At 42.3% G+C, this 21,302-nt stretch overlaps 1 long non-coding RNA gene across 1 annotated transcript in view; it reads right to left on the bottom strand.

Annotated features, from left to right (window-relative positions):
• Positions 1–3,096: 3,096 nt before the first annotated feature.
• LOC105370187 (uncharacterized) overlaps positions 3,097–21,302 on the bottom strand; it is a 55,982-nt gene continuing 37,776 nt past the window's right edge. Inside the window, exon 4 of the long non-coding RNA XR_941934.4 lies at positions 3,097–3,511. This is a non-coding gene — a long non-coding RNA (uncharacterized LOC105370187). The remainder of the gene's footprint in view (positions 3,512–21,302) is intronic.

Below are 21,302 nucleotides of genomic sequence, written 5' to 3' on the forward strand. Positions count from 1 at the left end.
GTTGTTGTTGTCTGAGACAGGGTCTGGCTCTGATGCCCAGGCTGGAGTGCAATGACACGATCTCAGCTCATTGCAACTTCTGCTTCCCAGCCTCAAACCAGCCTCCCAAGTAGCTGGGATTACAGGTGCACACCACGCCCAGCTAATTTTTGTATTTTTTTGTAGAGATCAGGTTTCACCATGTTGCTTAGGCTGGTCTCGTACTCCTGGGCTCAAGCAATCCACCTGCTGCGTCAGCCTCCCAAAGTGCTGGGATTACAGGCGTGAACCACCGCACCCAGGCTACATTTTTTTAAAGTAATATTTTACAAAATCCCTGCAAAAATATTAGTATTCAAGACAGCAGATTCTTCTTTGCAGTACTCAATATGTATAGGTATTTAATAATTTTCTCATTGACAAATGAATAAATGAATGCATAAATAAACAGGTGAGCCCACCATTCAAACCCGAACTCTGTTTTAATAAGAATGTGAGTGTCTCTCATAGGAAAGATGCACCAGAGAGCCATTCGAGTTTCATAATAGGAAAAAAGAATCAATATTCTCCTAAAATTTGGAACACTGCAGTACTTCTAGGAAAGGATTTGTGTAGGGAAAAAGCACCAATGTCATGTTATAATTAACTGCACAAAATCTAATTGTCAGGAGAAAAATGTGTTAGAGAATGGATGAGAAAAGGTCCAGGAGGAAAAACCTGGCTAGAAGTCAAGTGCTGCTTTAACAAAAAGGCAGATGGGGGAAGATGAAGGAAAATATGAATTATAACAACAAAGCTTTTAAAAAGTCTTATCACAGAGGAGTGAAAAGAGTCCACAAGGAGTATGCCTGAATGAGTGCTGCCCTTACGTGACATATTTACAGAACTGTTAAAAATGACAACAAAATATAATCAGCCTGGGAAGCTAGGGAGAAGACATCCTTACAGGGGGTAAGCGATGTAGCTAAAAAATTTTTTGTTGTTGTTTATTATGGTAAGTGTCAAATATACACAAACACATAGAGAATAGTATAATGAACTCCATCTATCTACCACCTCATCACAACAATCATGGCCTATCTTATTTCCGTTTAGTGCTACCCATTCCCCTTCCTCCACCAAATGAATTATTATGAAGCCAATCCCAGATATCACATCATTTCAATATGAATCTCTTAAAAGATAAGGTGGATACCTTTTAAAAATCACAACACAGGGCCAGGCATGGTGGTTCCCACCTGTAATCCCAGCACTTTGGGAGGCCAAGGCGAGTGGATCACTTGAGCCCAGGAGTTTGAGACCAGCCTGAGCAACATGGTAAAACCCTGTCTCTACAAAAAATACGAAAATTAGTTGGGCATGCTGGCACATGCCTGTAGTCTCAGCTACTCGGGAGACTGAGGTGGGAGGATCATCTCAGCCTGGTGAGGTCAAGGCTGCAGGGAGCCATGATGGCACCACTGCACTCCACCCTGGGCGACAGACTGAGGCCCTATTTCAAAAACAAAAACAAAACGAACAAAATCTGAACACCATACTATAAGCACACTTAAGAAAAAGTTAACAATAGACCTAGAGATACTGAAAATCAGCAATAAGGAATGAGCTATATTCTAGTCTAGATAACTAGAGGTACAGGGCACCTGACTACAAACTTCAAATAGGGAGACAAATTCAGCATCCTTAGAATTTGCACTGGCCCACCTGACTGCTAATCAACACCTCCAATTTCTCTTTCACTTGCTCATTTATGGTTTCAAGGTCATCTGGCCACAAAGTAAAGTAATATCAAGTAGACTTCTGAAAAGGGCTTGACCCCAGCTATGTCACATATTACTGTGTGAAACTGCGCAGAGCATTAAACTCTTGAAATCTCCTCTGTACAGAGAGGAAAATAATATAAAAGTATTTAGCTTGCAGGGTTTTTATAAGGACTAGATGAGCTAGTGCTTGCATTCACTCAGCGAAGCAAGTGCAAACTCTATTAACTTCTGCTATTATCATTGGAAAAGGTGGTGGTGGGTGACGGTATCACAATCAGGATTAAGAGTGATGATTTTCCTAGGCCAGGCATAGTGGCTTACATCTGTAATCTCAGCACTTTGGGAGGTTGAGGTGGGCAGATCATTTGAGGTCAGGAGTTCAGGACCAGCCTGGCCAGCCTAGCAAAACCCCACCTCTACTAAAAATACAAAAAAAAAAAAAATAGCTGGGCATGGTGGCGCATGCCTGTAATCACATTGGCCCCTCTACAGCTACTCCGGAGGCTGAGGCAGGAGAATCACTTGAACCTGGGAGGCAGAGGTTGCAGTGAGCTAAGATCACACCACTGCACTCCAGCCTAGGCAACAGAGCGAGACTCTATCTCAAAAAAAAAAAAAAAAAAAAAAAAAGATGATTTTCTGAGATATCTAAGGTATTCAGTTTTGAGCCAGTCACTAATACTTCTAGGCAAATTTTGATTGTGGATTTTTGAGTGCCCAAGTATCTTAGACTCCACTGAAATAGCCAGTAGAAATTATTTATTTTGGCTTCAGTAAGGCATGTTATTCAAAAGCATGTGACATTTTTATTGTAATGCCAATTTCCATATCTTGGCCAAGAGCATCCTAAAAATGGGCTATGTCCTAGTAAAAGCGTTGTATAGCAAGGAAGATGATCACTGTGAAAGAAAATACTGTATTCCAAAAGACCATTTTGGGGATTAAACACATTTTAGTCTTCACCACTAACAAGACAAAGGAATGAAATAAACACGTGAAAAACTTAAGAATGACCATCAGTTGAAGGCACTAAGAACAACAGGAAACAGTGGGGGAAAAATCTTAAGACTTTATAGAATGGGAAGAAAGTTAACCTTAAAAACAACAAACTAAGTCTAAAAGGGTAAAAGAAGCTAAAATAAATAGTCTCTGGGATGAAAAATCCCAGGGAGAGAGGGTGATGAACAAGACGTAAAAGCTGAGGATGTGTAAAGGGAGAGGGAAGCAAAGCAAGATCTGAAGCTGTCCATGCAGAAGCAGCATCACATTAGCCCCTCTACACAAGGGGCAATCATTCTGGGCTCCACCTGCGGCTTCTGAGAAACAGAGAAAAACTCAAAAAGAACCAAAGATGTAGTGGGGGAAAGTTGTTTAATTTATTTTCACTCTTTCTTAGTGCATCAAGGATTCGAGGAGATTAGATGGTAGGATTGCAGTGTCCACTGTCGTTCTTGCCTCTGGGACTTTGCACATGCTGTTGTTCCTGCTGCTTGGGATGCCTCGTTAGACCGCACGTGACTTTACTGGTTCTTGATCATTCTTTAGGAGTCAGTGGCGACATCAGCCCTGGAAAGGCTTACCTGACTTCTCAATCAGATAGGGGGCACTCCTATGGCATCTCAACTCCGATCACATTATGCCCTACTATTTACTTGCCTGTCTACATCTGTGTACTGTCAGTCCCCGGAGAATAGAAAACACATCTTGTTCACTACTGTGTCCTCTGCATCTAGCATAGTGCCTCATCAATGGTGGGCATTCATTAAATACTGTTGAAAAAAAAATCAACGCATACATTTACTCAATGCTTACTGTGTGCCAGCATGTAAGTAAACACTTACCATGTGCCAGGTTAAATGCGATTTCCATTTAATCCTTTCAACCCTATGAAGTAACTGTTGTTATTTCCTCCCCACCTTTTTTTGAGACAGAATCTCACTCTGTTGCCCAGGCTGGAGTGCAGTGGTGCGATCTCAGCTCACTGCAACCTCTGCCTCCTGGGTTCAGGTGATTCTCTTGCCTCAGCCTCCCGAGTAGCTGGGATTACAGGCACGTGCCACCAAGCTGAACTAATTTTTTGTATTTAGTAGAGACAGGGTTCCATCATGTTGGCCAGGTTGGTCTCGAACTCCTGACCTCAGGTGATCCGCCCAAAGACCTCAGCCTCCCAAAGTGCTGGGATTACAAGTGTGAGCCACTGTGCCCAGCCTATTTTCCCCATTTTAAGGTAGGAAACTGAGGTGCAGGAACTCTAAATTATGCAGTTGGGATTCAACAAAAAGTCTGACTCCAAACCTACCCCCTTCATTGATCATACTCATGGAATGAAAGGAAGAACTGATGGAAGATTCAAGAAGAAAATACACACATACAGCGCTCAGAAATTTCACTAAGCAGTGACCAACAGCAAGGTGAAAATGTTTTAAATATTAGTACCTGAAGGAAAGGACAAATATTATTTTGCATAAATGAAAGGAACAGAAAAATAGCCCCTTTTTTCCGGGTGAGAAAAATAAAAAATTCAGGATGCCATTTCTCATGGGGTCAGCTGTAGATCAACATTTACACCAATAACCCCTCACTGCCTTGCTTGAAAAACCTTTGTCTCCAATATCCTAAAGTATCATCACTGGAGGTTATTATTATCTAAAGGGGTATTCTTTGAGCACAAAAATGAGAGGTTATGTTCTCTACCTTCTAGAATAATAAAGACTTTTCCTCTTTTGATAGTTAAGAATCAAGAGAAGAACCTCAAATATTCTTAGGTAAGAACTAAAATACATTATGAACATTCATTCTGGATATGTTAATCTTGTTTCTAATCTAGAAACCAAAACATCTTTAAGGAAGATAGAATTATAGAAGGAAGCATAGCTTCTCAGGAAGTGTGACTCACCCATTACTGCATTTTTGTAAATACTGACCCATTAGGGACCTATTTTTACTCCTACAGAGTTAGGCCATTTATACAAACATTAATTATAAGTCAGTTTTTGTGTATTGTTATGTTTCCTTTTAAAAAGTTGATGGAGCCAAGTGCAGCGGCACATGCCTGTAGTCCCAGCTACTAGGGAGGCTGAGGTGGAAGGATCACCTGAGCCCAGGAGTTTGAGGCCAGCCTGGGCAACATAGCAAGACCTCTTCTCTATTAAAAAAAAAAAGTTGAGGGAATAGAAATGGCATTAAATATGGAACAGGTTTCACTGTTACTGTCAATTTGGGTTCACCTCTTTTGTTTGTGTGCGTGTGTGTGTGCATGCATACATGTGTGCTGAGTGACTGTCATCATACCACGGCATAAGTGACAACAGAACTGGGCAAGCCAGAAGAGACCAGGAGTGGAAGTCCTGCCAGACTCGGGAGATCAATAAAATGAATGGGCCAAGGCAAGGAGTCAACAATTATAGACAGACCATCTTAGACCTAGGCAAGAGGGCTCCTGGGCCCACACCAGAGAGAGAAGGGGCTCCTGCAGCCCCTTCTGGCCATGCCCTTCCCCATCATGTGAGAAATCTGTTGAACCAAAGGCATGGTCCACCTGGAGCCAACTCCTAGATTATGTTCCAGGTACCCAGGGCCCTGGAATTGCCTGCCCAAGCAGCCCAAGCCCTTACCAGGTCTGTGGAGGCCTCTCTCCAGAGATCATCCTCCCAAGGATGCACATCGCTGCCAGTGTGACTGGACCTCTAGGCCCAAGTGGTGGCGAGCGATCAGCTCGGATGTGTGAAATGGGGTGTGCATACTCGTGAGTGTTCAGCTTTTCACAGCACAAGACAAATTCAGAGCAGGAAGGAGCCAGCGGGGAGTGGGAGGAGAAGGGGGGTGGAGATGGGTCCCCCCCACTGCCATGTCCCGGCTCAGAACACTGAGGAGCTCAATACTTCTCAATTCAAACCTGGCCCTCCTTGTCATTATGAAGGGAGAAAGAGAAAAGCAAAGTGGCACCATTACCCAGACCAGTGTCACCAGGAGCTGGCTCCAGCTCTCAGATGGGTCCTGGTGTTCTCCAGTTGAACCCAAACAATTTCACAAAATACCAGCATCAGACAAGGCCACTCTGTGACCAGGATGGAGCAAGAGGAAAACAAGACCAGTCTGTAATCATATCTGAGCACAGACCAAAACAAGAACATTATCCAAACCACAACAATGACCACATCCCTTTATCCTTGCTAGTATGAGTGATCACTACTCCTTTACCAATCAGGGCATGAACCCTGCTTTGTTAAGATACTTACTCACTGAACTACCCCCACTTTCTGATGGCATCCATTTAATTCAGAGCAAAGTCATACCTCCTTGAACCCTCCTCGCAAGTCCTCCATCATCAGCCCAAATGCTCCAACAATTCCCTTCTACATGTGATTGAGATGCTCCATGGGTCCCCATGGGGTATGATGTCAGTGCAATGAGTCAACCCACCCAACTTTGTTCACTCCAAATATGTTCCTGGTGGTCTTTGCCTGGAGGGCATCGACAGAAGGTATATTTGCCAAGGAAGTAACAGCTCATAAACTTGCTTTCAAACATTTATGCACTTAAACAGGTGTCATATGGGCCTCTACTTGGATTCTCACCCAGCTCCTACAAATATGCCAGCAAACCTGCCTCTAAGGCAGGGCTTCAAGACGGCATGCCCTACTGTGACTGTTGACTTCTGGAGAGCAGAGCCGTGTCCCAAGGAGATGGACTTGGGAAACCCAGCGACAGAGTGGTTTCTAGGGAGGCAATGAGAACTAAAACAGGTTCCAAGGTGGACAAGTTGAAAATAGTGCTCCAGGGTCCCAGAAAATGTTTAGAAGGTCAAGTAAAATACGGTATGAGGACAGATCCTAGACATATGCCCATTTGGAGATGCCGGGGGGACAGCAGACACTCCATGTGAGAGTGGGCTCCACAGAGTGCTGTAGTTACTGATGCCAACGTGGGCAGGGTGTCCTCAGGGAGGGGAAGCTTACCAGAGAGGAGCCCTTCAGCATCCGCACGGAGGAGACCACAACAGGAATTCTAGGTTATAGCCATGACTTCCCAAAGATGTCCACGTGTCTGTATGAAGTGTTTTGTTTTGTTCTGGCATCTCTCTGTGTGCCATCTGATTGTTCTGAAACTTTTAAGGTAGCACACCTTTTCATTTGTCCTTAAGCAGGAGCTGAGGATGAGAGTACTCTTAAAGTGAGAACTTCAAATCATTTCTTTTTTCTTTCTTTTTTTTTTTTTTTTTGAGACCAAGTCTGGCTCTGTCACCCAGGCTGGAGTGCAATGGCACAATCTCGGCTCACTGCAACCTCCGCCTCCTGGGTTCAAGTGATTCTCCTGCCTCAGTCTCTCAAGTAGCTGGGATTATAGGCGCACGCCACCACACCTGGCTAATTTTTGTATTTTCAGTAGAGACGAGGTTTCACCATGTTGTCCAGGCTGGTCTCAAACTCCTAATCGCAGGTGATCCACCCGCCTCAAACTCCTGACCACAGGTATCTGCCTGCCCCGGCCTCCCAAAGTGCTGGGATTATAGGCATGAGCCAGCACGCCCAGCCTCAAATCATTTCTTTAAGTGTTAATATGAGGTTATTTCCTGGGTTTAGATATTACGACTCACCAGAATAGGTTTTAATTGGAAAGCAATTGAAAATACTTCCCCTCATGCTGAAGTTTATTCCTAATATGTTTTTAGTAAGATGTTAATACTTTAGTTATTACACAGGTAAGTAAAAAAATGAAAAGAAAAATAGCATTAGATGCACACCTATCATAAGTCTAGAACTGAGCTGGTTCATTTGGGTACATTATCTAGTTTAAGTAAGGAAACTAAAACGGATGGCTTGCAGAATTGAGCAGTTGAGCAATTGAAGCCTTCTAGATGTGCCTCTTTGGGTCCTTCCCTTAGTAGACCCTTAATAAAGGACTTGAAAGCCATCTATCGAGGTCCAGCTAGTCAGCCACTGCACCAACGCTGTCACCCAAAGTCCCTTGAGCAAATCAACTTGAATGATTCCCATGGCAGGAAGCTCACAGCTTACCTCATCTGAAACCTTTTTTTTTTTTTTTTGAGACAGAGTCTCCTTCTGTCACCCAGGCTGGAGTGCAGTGGTGCAATCTCGACTCACCACAACCTCTACCTCCCAGGTTCAAGTGATTCTCCTGCTTCAGCTTCCCAAGTAGGTGAGATTACAGGCACTTACAGGCACCTGCCACCACGCCTGGATAATTTTTGTATTTTTAGTAGAGACAGGGCTTCACCATGTTGGCCAGACTGGTCTCGAACTCCTGACCTCAAGTGATCTGCCCGCCTTGGTCTCCCAAATTACTAGGATTACAGGCATGAGCCACTGCACCCAGCCTTTTTTTTTTTTCTTATTTATCCTATTTATCTTATTTATCTTATTTATTTAATTTTTTAAATTTTATTTTATTTTATTTTATTTACATTTTTATTTTATTTTATTTTTATTTTTTTTCTTTTTTTTTTTTTTTGAGAAATGGAGTCTTGCTCTGTCGCCCAGGCTGGAGTACAGTGGTGCAATCTCGGCTCACTGCAACCTCGGCCTCCCAGGTTCAAGCGATTCTACTGCCTCAGCTTCCCAAGTAGCCGGGACTACAGGCATGCACCACCATGCCCAGCTAATTTTTGTATTTTTTAGTAGAGATGGGGTTTCACCATATTGGCCAGGCTGGTCTCAAACTCCTGACCTCAGGTGATCCACCCACCTTGCCCTCCCAAAGTGCTGGATTACAGGCGTGAGCCACCATGCCCGGCCTTTTGTTTAAAAGTAAAAATTCCAAGCTGGGCATGGTGGTTCATGCCTGTAATCCCAGCACTTTGGGAGGCCAAGGCAAGAGGATCCCTTGAGCCCAGGAGTTTGAGATCAGCCTGAGCAACATAGCGAAACCTTGTCTCCATTAAATTTTTTAAATAGATAAATAAAAATAAAAATTATATTCCTATACAAAAGTTGAAAGGGTAGCAGCACAGTGGATACGCTTCACCTAGCTTAGCCACTCTTTCTATTAACATTTGCCTTCTCTCCTTCTCTCAACACACACACACACACACACACACACACACACACTTTTTTTAGGTAGACCATTAAAACTAAGTTGTATTCATTCTGACACTCCACTCTTAAATACTTCAGCATGCATCTCCTATGAATAAAGAACTTCTCCAATATAATTACAGCACTATTACCACACACACCCAAGAAATTAATATTAATTGAATAATACCATCTAATATGCAGCCTTTATTTAAACTTCTGCAATTGTCCTGGACAGAATTTATTTTCTTGTTTCTTTCTTCCCCAGGATATAAGATCTTTTCAAGATTTATGCATCATATTTGATTGGTTTGTCTCCATCTTATTTTTCAAGCAATTATTTAGAGGAATTTTAGATTCAAGCCAAATTGAGAGGAAGATAGACTTGCCATATATCCCCTGCACACACACATGTGTAGCAGTCTCCCTTACTATCAACCTTCCCACCAGAGTGATACATTTGCTATAACTGATGAACCTACATTGGCACATCATTATCACCCAAAGTCCACAGTTTATATTAGGATTCACTCTTGGTGTTATACATTCTATATGATGGATAAAGGTATAATGACATGTACCACTGTTGTATCACAGAGAGTATTTTCACTGCCCTAAAAATCCTCTGTATTCTGTTTATTTATTCCTCCCCCACAACTCCTGGCAACAATGATTTTTTACTGTCTCCATACTTTTTCCTTTTCCAGAATGTCATTGTTGGAATCACATAGTATGTAGCCTTTTCAGATTAGTTCTTTTCACTTGGTAATGCGCATTTAAGTTTCTCCTACATCTTTTCATGGCTCAACAGCTCATTTCTTTTTAGCATGGAATAATATTCCATTGTCTGGATGTACCACAATTTGTTCACTTACCTATTAGAGGACATCTTGTTGCTTCCAAGTTTTGGCATTTATGAATAAAGCTGCTATAAACATCTGTCTACAAGTTTTTGTGTGAACATAACTTCTCAATTCCTTTGGGTAAATACCAAAGAGTGTGATAGCTGGATCTTATAGTGAGAGTATGTTTAGGCTGGCGAAAAAAAACAAAACAAAAAACCCCATCAAACTGTCTTCCAAAGTGGCTGTACCATTTTGCATTACCATCAGCAAAGAATGAGAGTTCCTGTTGCTCTACATCCTCACCAGCATTTGGTATTGTCAGTGTTCTGGATTTTGGCCCTTCTAATAGGTGTATAGTGATTTCTGCGTCCTATTTTCAGCATCACTGATTCCCAATAAATTTCTCCCAACATTGAGCCAACATAACCTCCCTGTAAATTTCACTTCTTGGCATTCTCCAGTGGTTCTCAATATATTCCTAACACACCTCTGCAAGTACGAGTGACAAGATTAAACAAACAGAGTTTAATATCTAGCTCATTCCAGACTTACAAATGGTTCTAAAAATGTCTTAGAGCAAAGGTCTCAAACTAAATGCCTGCAGGTTCCTTCCAGACAACAGATACATATTGCTTGTCCCATCCGGTGGGTGTGCACACATGTGTACATATGTATATACTCAGTGTGAATTTGTTGCCAGAACTTAAAAATTAGGATTTTTTTTTTAAAGATCTGGATTTCTGGTTCTTCCTTAAAAATGAAATCAGAAGAACTGGCAACACTGGCGCATATTCCCAAAAAACAACAGTTGGTTGGAATTGAGTAGCAGCTGTTGCCTTCAGATGGGCCTGGACCCCCATATTCATAGTCCACCAGCTGGATAAAGTCTCCTAGTGTTGGCTGCCATTTTTCCTTGTGATGTTACTGTCACTTTTCTTATTCCTGGATTCTCTCTCACCTTCATGTTTCCCACCTGGTCTCAGTAGGCATTTGTGTAACCCATGCCAAGTGCTTCTTTACATTCAAGCACCTACATATCATTGTTCATTCTTTTTTGTTTTGTTTTGTTTTGTTTTTGAAATGGGGTCTTGCTCTGTCACCAAGGCTGGAGTTCAGTGCCTTGATAATGGCTTACTCTAGGCTTGAACTCCTGGGCTCAAGTGATCCTCCTGCTTCAGATTGAGCAGCTGGGAATACAGGCAGATGCCACCATGCCTGGCTAGTTTGTTGTTGTTGTTGTTGTTGTAGAGTAGGGTTCTTGTTTTGTTGCCCAGGCTGGTCTCAAACTCCTGGCTTCAAGCCATCCTCCCGCCTCTGTGTCCCAAATTGTTGGTACTTCAGGCATGAGCCACAGTGCCCGGCATCCACCTTAATCTTGAACTAATCTTACAAAATATATAGGAATATTATTATCCTCATTTTTCAGATGAGGAGACTAAGATTAGTATGTAGTTTCCCTGTAGTAAAACAACAATTTGATAAGCTATAGGATTCTAGGAATGACAAAATGTGTAAAACCTGTGATGTGGAGGAGAGGATTCTTTAAGAGACAGTCAACAGAAGTATAGGGAATCTAACCCTGCTACAGACAAGAGACACCTATTTTAAGCAATGTTACATCATTTTCATTAAGGTTGTCGTAGATGGACTTGAATAGAGCCATCAGTTGGTTGCCATGGAAACCATGAATTAGTGAAGGCAGTCTAGTAGCCTGGGTCATGTGGATTTAAAAGAAAGAAACTTTTGAAAATACCTAACTAAAGAATTTCTGGAATGAGAAGAAGGATAAATTATTCAAGGTGCTTATGAATTCCGTCTGGGAAGCACATGCTGATCAGAAATCATGACCAAGGCTGAGGCCACGCGAATGAACCCTCGTGCTTTCCTGTTTTGCTTGAGAGCTCAGACGCCTGCTTGGAACTGAACCGAACATCTCGCAGTTCTGGCTGTGGGTCTTCGTGGGCTAAGTTATTGCAAAGAGATAAAGGACCTTTGTACTCATCTTAGCTAAACATGATCTTGTCACAGGCTCCTCTCCCTGACTTCTTCCCTTTGCTATATGGCACATCTGCTCATGTAAAAATATAAATCAACAAAGATTCACAAAGACCTTCTTGTCTATTGAAGCGGAACGGAGATCACAGGCTTCACTCCCAAACTCAACTTGGCTTACATGTTCTTGCTCAGATAATTAACTCTCCAATTAAACTCAGATCTGGAAAACAAGGCCACAAAGTCCTCTGAAATGTTGGAGCCAGGAACAAATGGACATGGTTTAACAGTCAGAGAACACCATGTTCCAGGACAGTCAAATATAGAAGCTTTCAGGGCCAGAAAATTCACCGAATCTCCAGAGTGATTTATTTTACAATTCAGACAAGTTTTAGGATAAAGATTTTAAAACTCATTTATTTTTAGGTAAACCTCCCTCCTTGCTAAAGAAATACTCCCTAACTGATGACCATAAGAGGAAGTCAAACTCCACAGTACCAATAATGGTGAGTAAAACAGAGAGTGCATTTCTCCAGCACAGTCCCCAAGATGGGTTCAGTATCAATTGCAAGTAAGCAATTGATATTCTTTATTAAAAATAGTCATTAATCTTCATAGTAATGACCAGCACAGAGAGGATCTTTGTTAGAAGTGAGAGCTCACTTGAGAAATCAATGCAGAATAAGACTGAGCCCCAGGGATGTGGAGGAAATACTGGTACCTGTGCACAATGTCACCAGATGTGGGCTCTTCAGGAATCACATTTCATTGGCTATGCAATTTTAAGAAAGCAACAGATGAAGAAGTGAGATTAAACCCTGGAAATAGTGGTGAACAGGATAACACAGCTTCTACACCCATGGAGTCATGAGCCCCCGGGAACAAGCATTTAGCACGTTTTTACAAGCATGTTCAGTGATTTAAGAGTTTAGAATCTATGGGTGGATCAAGTAAGAGCCGGTGCACTGGTTGAACCTCACTCTCCACAGTGTCCTGGACACGGGGTCACAAGGCCTGACTGTGCATGCCTTTCCCAACTCAGCAGTCAGTGACCTCATGTTGGTATCCCAAATTCAGCTCTGGAAAGAATATTCACACCACAAAACTTAGTAAATCTCCTCCTCTGGAGAGCTTCTTGTTGAACAATACCAGCACGCTATCGCTGAGAGAATAAAAGATGTAACACAGGTGGTAGTGCACGCCTATATTCCCAGCTACTTGGGAGGCTGAGGTGGGAGGATCTCTTGAGCCCAGGAGTGCAAGGCTGCAGTGAGCTATGATTGTCCCACTGCCCTCCAGCCTGGGTGACACAGTGAGACACCGCCTCTAAAAAACAAATTTTTAGAAATATGATTATTAAATCATAAAAGGTGAACAAATGTAAGGTGACAACAAAAAGCAGTAATGAGTAAAAAAAATGGTGCTATCTTTTTTTACTCTGAATGTTTATAAATGTAAACATGTAAAGAAAATAGGACAACAATATTATGGCATTTCCATAAATCTTCAGTTTTGGTTACCTCTGGTTTGGGCTACACCTATGTGCAGTGGCAGAATTTTAATTTCATTTCTGAAGATTCCCCTTATTTGCCCACCAGGGTAGTAGAAAACAAAGGATGTAGACATCCACAAACCTGAGTTCTAATCCAGTTCTTGGTGAGGAACTGGGTGAGTGTTATGTAAAGATCAGCATCTATCCACTCTGCTTCAGGGTACTCATCCGACAAATGGTAATAACGAAACATATGCTACCATCATGTCTACCATCATGAGGATGTTTCAAGAAGCCAAGAGTCATAAATATTTCGATCTGGAAACTGAGTGGTCAGCTGGCCCCACCCATCACCTTATGGATGAGGACAATGAGGTCCTAAGAGATTGAGTGACTACCCAAGGAACAGCTACGCAGCAAGTAGTAGAGCCACAACCTGAACCCGAGGCTTTCACCTGTAGTCTTTCCAGCAAGCCGTGCTATTTACGCATAGAATGAAAGACTGCTATATAAATGAATCAAAGAAGGCTTCTGTGTATTAGTCCCTCAGTTGTGTTTTCCTCCACTGCAACCTGAGACCAATTAGCTCAAAAGCCTGCAGGCACCAAACTCAAACTTTTATACATCCAGTTATTTTTAAAAATAGCCCAAACAAGTAGACTATTAGCCATTTAGAGCCCACCTGTTTTGCATACTCCTTGAAACCTCACCCAGCATCTGTTGGCCATTGATAAGATACAGCATTGCAATGATGAGACCCCAAGCTACTACCGCACTTTGGGGCTCTCTGATCCAGGGACTCGCCTCTGTGCTGCTGAACAACATCACCAAGACACAGAAGCCCCCTCACTGATCCCTCCTCTCCTTCTGGATGTTGGCCCCCTGGAGCCTCTGGCTATCTCATGTTGTGAGGGGCTTCTCTTCTCATGCAACCCTCACATCACCCAATAAAGCTTGTGTGTGACTGCCTCTTGTGGTCCCCTCTTTCCTTGATCAGCCCCCAAGTCCCTCAGACCTACAGAAGATACAAATGTGCAGAAGTGATAAACATGGACTAGGCAGGGCACGGTGGCTCACACCTGTAATTCCAGCACTTTAGGAGGCCAAGATGGGCAGATTGCTTGAGCTCATGAGTTCAAGACCAGGAAGGGGAACATGGTGAAACCTTGTGTCTACAAAAAAATTTAAAAATTAGCCAGGTATGGTGATGTGTGCCTGTAGTCCCACCTACTTGGGAGGTTGAGGCGGGAGGATGGCTTGAGTCCGGGAGGTCGAGGTTGCAGTGAGCCGAAATCATGCCACTGCACTCCAGCCTGGGTGATAGAGCAAGGCCTTGTGTCAAAAAACATTAATTAATTAATTAAATTAAAAAACATGGACTATATTCAAGGTCCCAGCATGAGCAGATGTGGGGAGCAAATGCCACAGAGATGTTTGGTGCCACCACTAAGACTAAGAACCAGGGCAAAACGAACCCCAAATGCTAGTTTCCTGACTCCCTGCAGGTCTTCTTACTACCGTGCGACAAGAGAAACTGATAGGTCTTAGTCTTGGCCATATGTAGATAAGGCCTGGTAACTTGGCCTGATCAAATTTTACACCTCTCTTATGCCATTCCCAGGTGTCAAAGAAGAGATTAAGAAGACATCCATATCACGAATTGGCCCCTGTGGCCACAAAGCATAGATGCATTCCCTTGGTGTGCATCTGGAGCACCAAAATGAAACTGAGACTCCAGGACAACGCAGAATTCACACAGCATGTGGCTGTCATTCAAAGGCAAAACTGCTTTAGAAAACTAGGGAAGGAATTCCAGCTTTAAACGGAATGCTTTACTCTTTTGGAAAGCTCCAAAATGAAAATTCCGCCCCTCAAAATGTAAATGCATGCACTTTTACAAATAGTATAATCATGCAAAACTACTCAGCTGCTTCAGATGTTTTTGGCAAGCTGGAGTACAAGTTGACAGGTAACTAGTTAGAATTATTCTCACTTCCTTTTGCCATGGGAGTGGGGAGAGGCCATTTTATGAATTTTTAAATGACAAGTTTGATGAAATCATAGAATAAACTATTTCAAGTATATTTTCCTGGTTTTGGCTACTAAATAATTGCACCAACATTTAAAAAAAGCTAAGCTGTAAATTCAACTGAATTTCACTTGGCTTGGAATCGCCACATTTTGAGATAATTTAACACATTCATCCTTTGTACTAAGAATGATAACTAATAATGGTGGTTGCCACCGGTTGATCAAATCTAAGGTTTTAAATATATTTACACATATCATATTCATGACAAATCCAACAAGATAGACAGTATCATTATTTTATTCCCATTGTAGAGATGTGGAAACTGAGGATGCTTAAGTAACTTGCTTAAGATCAGGCAGTTTCTCAGTCAATTCATTTTGGCTCTAGAACCACCTGCCCAATACAGTAGCCACTAGCCACATACAGCTATGAAGCTCTTGAAATGTGCCTAGTCTGAATTGAGATGTGTGGTAAGTATATATTTTGATTACTTGTATAAAGAAAAGAATGTAAAATATCTCACTAATAATTTTTAAAATATTGATTCCATGTTAACATACAAAAATAAAAATGGGCTGTTAAAATTAATAAATAAAATATGTATGCTATTACAATTAATTTCACCTACTTGTTTTGACTTTTTAAATGTGGCTATTAGGAAAGTTAACACTCCTGTGCTTGGGCCTCACATTATACCCCTATTGGACCACACCGTTCTACAGCCCCAACTCTACCATTTTTTACCCTCCAAAGGAAAGAGTTTATACTATTTACATTTACAAGAAAGTGTGATCTTCTTTCATTGCAAGATTTATGTATTGTCTGTATGTGGAGAAATTGAGGCATAAAATAGTTAAGATCTAAAGTTAAATATTAATCCTAAAACAAACTTCAAAGCCTGCTGAGAACAAAAGATTGCATCCTCTACTCAGCTTGACTTGTTTGACCTGCTTTCCAACCTGGACTGAAGCCATGGAGTTCAAGAAGTTTAGCAACTGTCTGAGGTTTAATGCCTAATCGAAAGCCAAACATAGCCGTTGCTTGTGTTTTTGCTCTTGTTTTATGCCCACTTATGCTATGCTCAGAGAGAAAAACACAGCAGGGTTGGGAGGACACCAGCTCGTGTGGCTTTTTTCCAGGGGTCATGTGTTGGGTTATATAGGATTCTCTAATTATTTAATGATAATCATTGGGTTTCCATTATCAAGGAAAATATATAAAACACATGCTGATGGGCAGATTCATTGAATGGCATAAGGACCCCTCAAGAAAGCTCAAGCTATTTATGAACCCTACTCATGACTCGGATACTGCATTAGTTCAGAGTGGAGGCTGGATTTTCACTTATTCCTCTGAAAGTCCCTAAGCAGAAAATATTTCCTGAAATATGAGCAACTCCTCAGGTGCCATCTAATAGAACAGGACTTGGCAATTAAAACCAAAGACATTCTTGTATTTTCTGCTGAGCTCCTGGTCCACCCCAGCCCCATCCAACTCTGAATATTTGACATCTGTGCTTATTTACTTAGTTCCCTGGAGTACCGGCAGCTTTTCTCTGTCACTGTGTTCACCTGTGAGAGGTCTATTTAAAGCGCCTTCATAATGTTCTGAACATTTACATTTGAGCCAAGCCCTCAGCTCGACCTTTCAACATTCTCCCTCTCTTATTTTTTCTCAACACCTCTCTCCCACTGCAGTCCTCTCCTTTTTTCTCCCTTGCAAACCTGTGAAGGGAGAGGCTGTGACACTGAAAACCTTCCTGGGGAGGTGGTAGGACTGGCCCTCCGCCCTGCAGCCCCTCCTTAATGAGGATTAAGTGTTCCTCCCTCACGTCCCAACACTGGGCAGCTGTCCCCAAGCCATTTAGGACCAGCCAATGACATGCCAGAGAGCTACACTGGAGAGAACAGAAGCCGCGTGCCTTTTTATTCATAGGACAGTGTGTGCTCATATAACCTTTCTCTGTATATAGACAGACCCAGCTATTAGCTTTCACAGTTCCTCCTTGTTTAACCTTATCTTTCTTGACTCATTGTATATTTGATGTTCCTAATGGACAGTATTCCATGTGGCACGGTGGAAGGCTACTGAAAGCCTGGAGGCACACATTCTAACTGCTGTTCTGCTGCTAACTTGCTGTGTGATCTTGGAGATGTCATCAAACTCTCTGGGCCTGTTTCCTCAATGAAATAGAAAGTTGGATTGAATGATACCTAGAAGTCCTTGCTGTTTTACAATTCTATGATCCATGAACTTCTCAGATCCTCTCTAGTAATTAGTATTCACTTCTCATAATATGTTTTTCCTGTGGCTGACTCCATGGATTTCCTTCTCTTTGGAGATTAGGGGCTGCCCAGTGATAAGCACACTGACCAGGTCCCCTCACAAGGTGATTAACATGACTGCATCCCAGGCTCCAGGACAAGGCCCAGGCGATACGCAGCTGCACACGAGTTAAATAGAAACATTTTTAAAAACACTTCAAGGGGAGGAAATTGATTTACTGAAGAGTAGTTTGTAGGAAACAGAATGTGGATAAGGCCCACATTAATTCATTGAAGAATCTCATGAAGTTTTTTTTTTGTTTGTTTTTTGTTTTTTTTTGAGACGGAGTTTCGCTCCTGTTGTCCAGGCTGGAGTACAATGGTGCTATCTCAGCTCACTGCAACCTCCGCCTCCCAGGTTCAAGCGATTCTCCTGCCTAAGCCTCCCAAGTAGCTGGGATTACAGGCACCTACCACCACACCTGGCTAACTTTTGTATTTTTAGTAGAGACGAGGTTTCACCACGTTGGCCAGGCTGGTCTTGAACTCCTGACCTCAGGTGATCTGCCCGCCATGGCCTTCCAAAGTGCTGGGATTACAGGCATGAGCCACCGTGCCCAGCCAGAATCTCATGAAGTTTTTATGGTTTGCTTTGTTTCTTTGTTTTCTAGAGTCTTGGCTGAAAAGAGGAAGCCCACCTTCTACCCCACGGGGTACTTCCAGAAGTACTGTGCGATCATCACAGCATGTCTCCCTGCTTCTGGTTCTCCCCACTCCGTCCCATTTTGCACACTGAGGCCAGATAAACATCACTAAAGCTGCTCCTATCACTGTGCCCCCTGCCTAAGAGCCTCCCAGCCCCTCTGGGCCACCTGGACTAAGCACAGCCCGCTTGGCCTGGCTGGTCAAGGCTCCCATGTTAAGCCCTCCATTGTCCTGACCAGCCCTTCTCACAGCTGCTCCCTGAACACAATGCCCAGGGCTCTCCCGCACACCCAACCCACTTGGCATTACCCTACACAATGTCATTGTGCAGTCTCCTCTCTCAGGAGGGCCCTCTACCCTTTCCAGCTGCTCAGTCCAATCGGTTCTGTAACATTCATGTCAAAACATTAACTTCATGATACACTTTCTCTTTCCTTCAAAACCCCTAAACCAGTGCTGTTCAATAAAAAATAGATGCAAGTCACAAATGGAACTTAAAATTCTCCAGTTGTCCTATTAAAAAAAGGAGGAAAGTGATGAAATCAGTTTCTGTAATATTATTCTATTTCACCCAAAATAGTTAAAATTCTTTTATCTTGACATGTAACAAACATAAAAACTAACAATGCTTTATTTTACATTCTTTTTTTTTTTTGTACCTAATTTTCAAAATTCATTTGTGTTTTCAACTTATAGCACATCTCACTTAGAATGCTAAATTGTTTTTTGGTTTGGGGGATTTTTTCAAGACAGAGTCTCCCTCTGTCACCCACACTGGAGTGCAGTGGTGTGATCATAGCTCACTGTAACCTTGAACTCCTGGGCTCAAGCAATCCTCCTCCTTCAACCTCCCGACTACCTGAGACTACAGGTGCATGCCACCACACCTGGCTAATTTTTTATTTTTTGTAGAATCGGGGTCTCCCTATGTTGGCCAGGCGGGTCTCAAACTCCTGGACTCAAGAGAAGTTCCTGCCTGAGCTTCCCAGTCTTGGGATTGCAGGTGTGAGCCACTGCACCCGGCAGGATGCTAAGTTTTTATAGGAAGTACTTGATGTGTATGTCAATCTCATAAAATTTACAATTAAAAAAGTAGTTTCGAGTGCCCAAGTTTGTTCCAAATATACTAAAAAGTCTGCCAATCACTGAGTCAAGTATTCATTTCTAAATTCAAACCTAAATGAATTAAAATAAGATAATATTAAAATTCCAGCTCCTTAGTTCTCTAGCCATATTTCCAGTGTTCTGTAGCCACATGTGGCCAGGGGGACAGTACTGGACAGCATAGCCACGAGCCTGTATGCCTCGGAGAGGTGTCTATCACATTTGGTCTTGTTCAAGGTTTCGTTTTTGTGTAACCTCAGCTAGATCACCTAACTCCCAGAAGGCAGAACTGTCTCATCCTGTCTCACCCCTCTATCCCCACTGTCCCGCCAGCCCCAAGCCTGACACACACCAGGCTCTGAGTCAATACTTTATGAATAATAGGAAGAATTAGCAGATGAGTAAATGATCTCATTCTTCCTATCAGGTTATTAATTATTTGAGCACATATTTTATTCTTCTCAGCAGTTTCTATTGTGCTAACACAGGGCCATGCCCATAATAGACAGTCAACAAGCATTTCTTCCTCGCTTAGATGAATTTAGGATGCAATGGCCATGTAGGTTTCACTCTTCACATTATTTTGTACTCAAGCACACAAGAAGCACCTGTGTCTCATACATCAAAAAGAGCTTTTAAGGCTTCACTTTTTAAAATTCATTTTAGTGTTAAAATCAATGGATTTAACCACCAGATGTGTTAGGATCATACTGTAAAGTTAGCATAGAAATACCTTCCTTCTTGAGCAGTGATCTCAGCGGGAAGTTCTGACAGATTCTCTCTTTCCCTCCTTCCTTCCCTCCTACATTCATTATTCACCAAATCAAACACTTGACTTCTGAAGACATACAGGCACTATAAAAACTTTAAACAAGGTGGAAAAAAAAAGAGACTAAGAAGGAAAAGAAACTAAGACTAAGAAGGAAAAGAGGACAATGGTACCACGTGCAAAGCCCCCTACTACCAAACCCTCCCAGGGCAGCCGGTCCACGCAAGAGGGTGGGGCCGGGTGGGCGCAGCAGGGGTTACACCAATTTCCAGGGCATCGGGTGCCTCATCTGAAGGTCAGTTTCTTGAGACAGAAATCTTGTGTCTATGGCAGAAGTATTCCTATAAGAGAATACGCTTCAATCTCATCAAATGTTTTCATAAAGACGTGGAATCAGTCCCATTTCTTCATGGAAAAATTCATAGTCAAGCCAGGTGAGGGCAAAGAAGCTGAGAGTGGTACAAATGCAGAGTCCTTGACCTTCAACGCTGAACATGAGCGTAGGGGCTCTAGGGACGTCTATTCTGAAAATTCCTAAGGACAAGTGGGTTAGGAGCTTAAAGAATTTATGATCCCTCCCATACCACAACCTTCCACTGACTGACTGCACCCCAAGAGAAGGATATCAGCCTTCATTCTTCCGCTCTCTTTTTTCTCTCTCACTCCAACAAAATGAAACTAATGATTGTTGTCGTTGTTGTTGTTGTTCAACCCTTCAAGGCCCCAATATGCTGCTGATGAATGGATTTGCCTTGAACTGAGCTACTCCTTGCCATTTATCCTAATTAAGTCCTTGTGACAGAGTGGGGATGCCAATTAAAATCTTCCTACCACACATTCCATTTGTCTCTGCACTAGTCCAGTGGCTTCTCACCATGGCTCTATTTATCCAACAGTACCTGACATCTGAGTAAGAGACAGCAGAGTCTGCTGCAGGGCAGTCGCGCAGCACAGCACAGATAATCGCTTGACCGGGATTCCTAGTGATTTCAATGTGGTTGGGGGCAGGGGCTGCCTTCTTTGTTTCTTGCCTTTTTGTTATTTCTAAATATATTGAAGGCTGTTTTCAAAAAACTTGTTTTGAACAAAATTGAAATTATAAGACTATCCAAGGCAGCACTTATAAATGGAACCTCACTTTTAAGCCTAAAATGTTCCACCCGAGTTGGAATTTCCTGCCAAGTTTCCTCCCTTGAATATTTTTCCTTATAGTTGCATGATTTCCAATTGATTTTATATTTAGTAGTGGTTCCCAGAAGCCCTAAGACAATAGCCATTTCAAAAAAAAGTTACATAACTAAATGAATCCTCACCTTAAGGGAA

The sequence above is a fragment of the Homo sapiens genome, chromosome 13, assembly GCF_000001405.40.
Source record: "Homo sapiens chromosome 13, GRCh38.p14 Primary Assembly".
Taxonomy (NCBI): domain Eukaryota; kingdom Metazoa; phylum Chordata; class Mammalia; order Primates; family Hominidae; genus Homo; species Homo sapiens.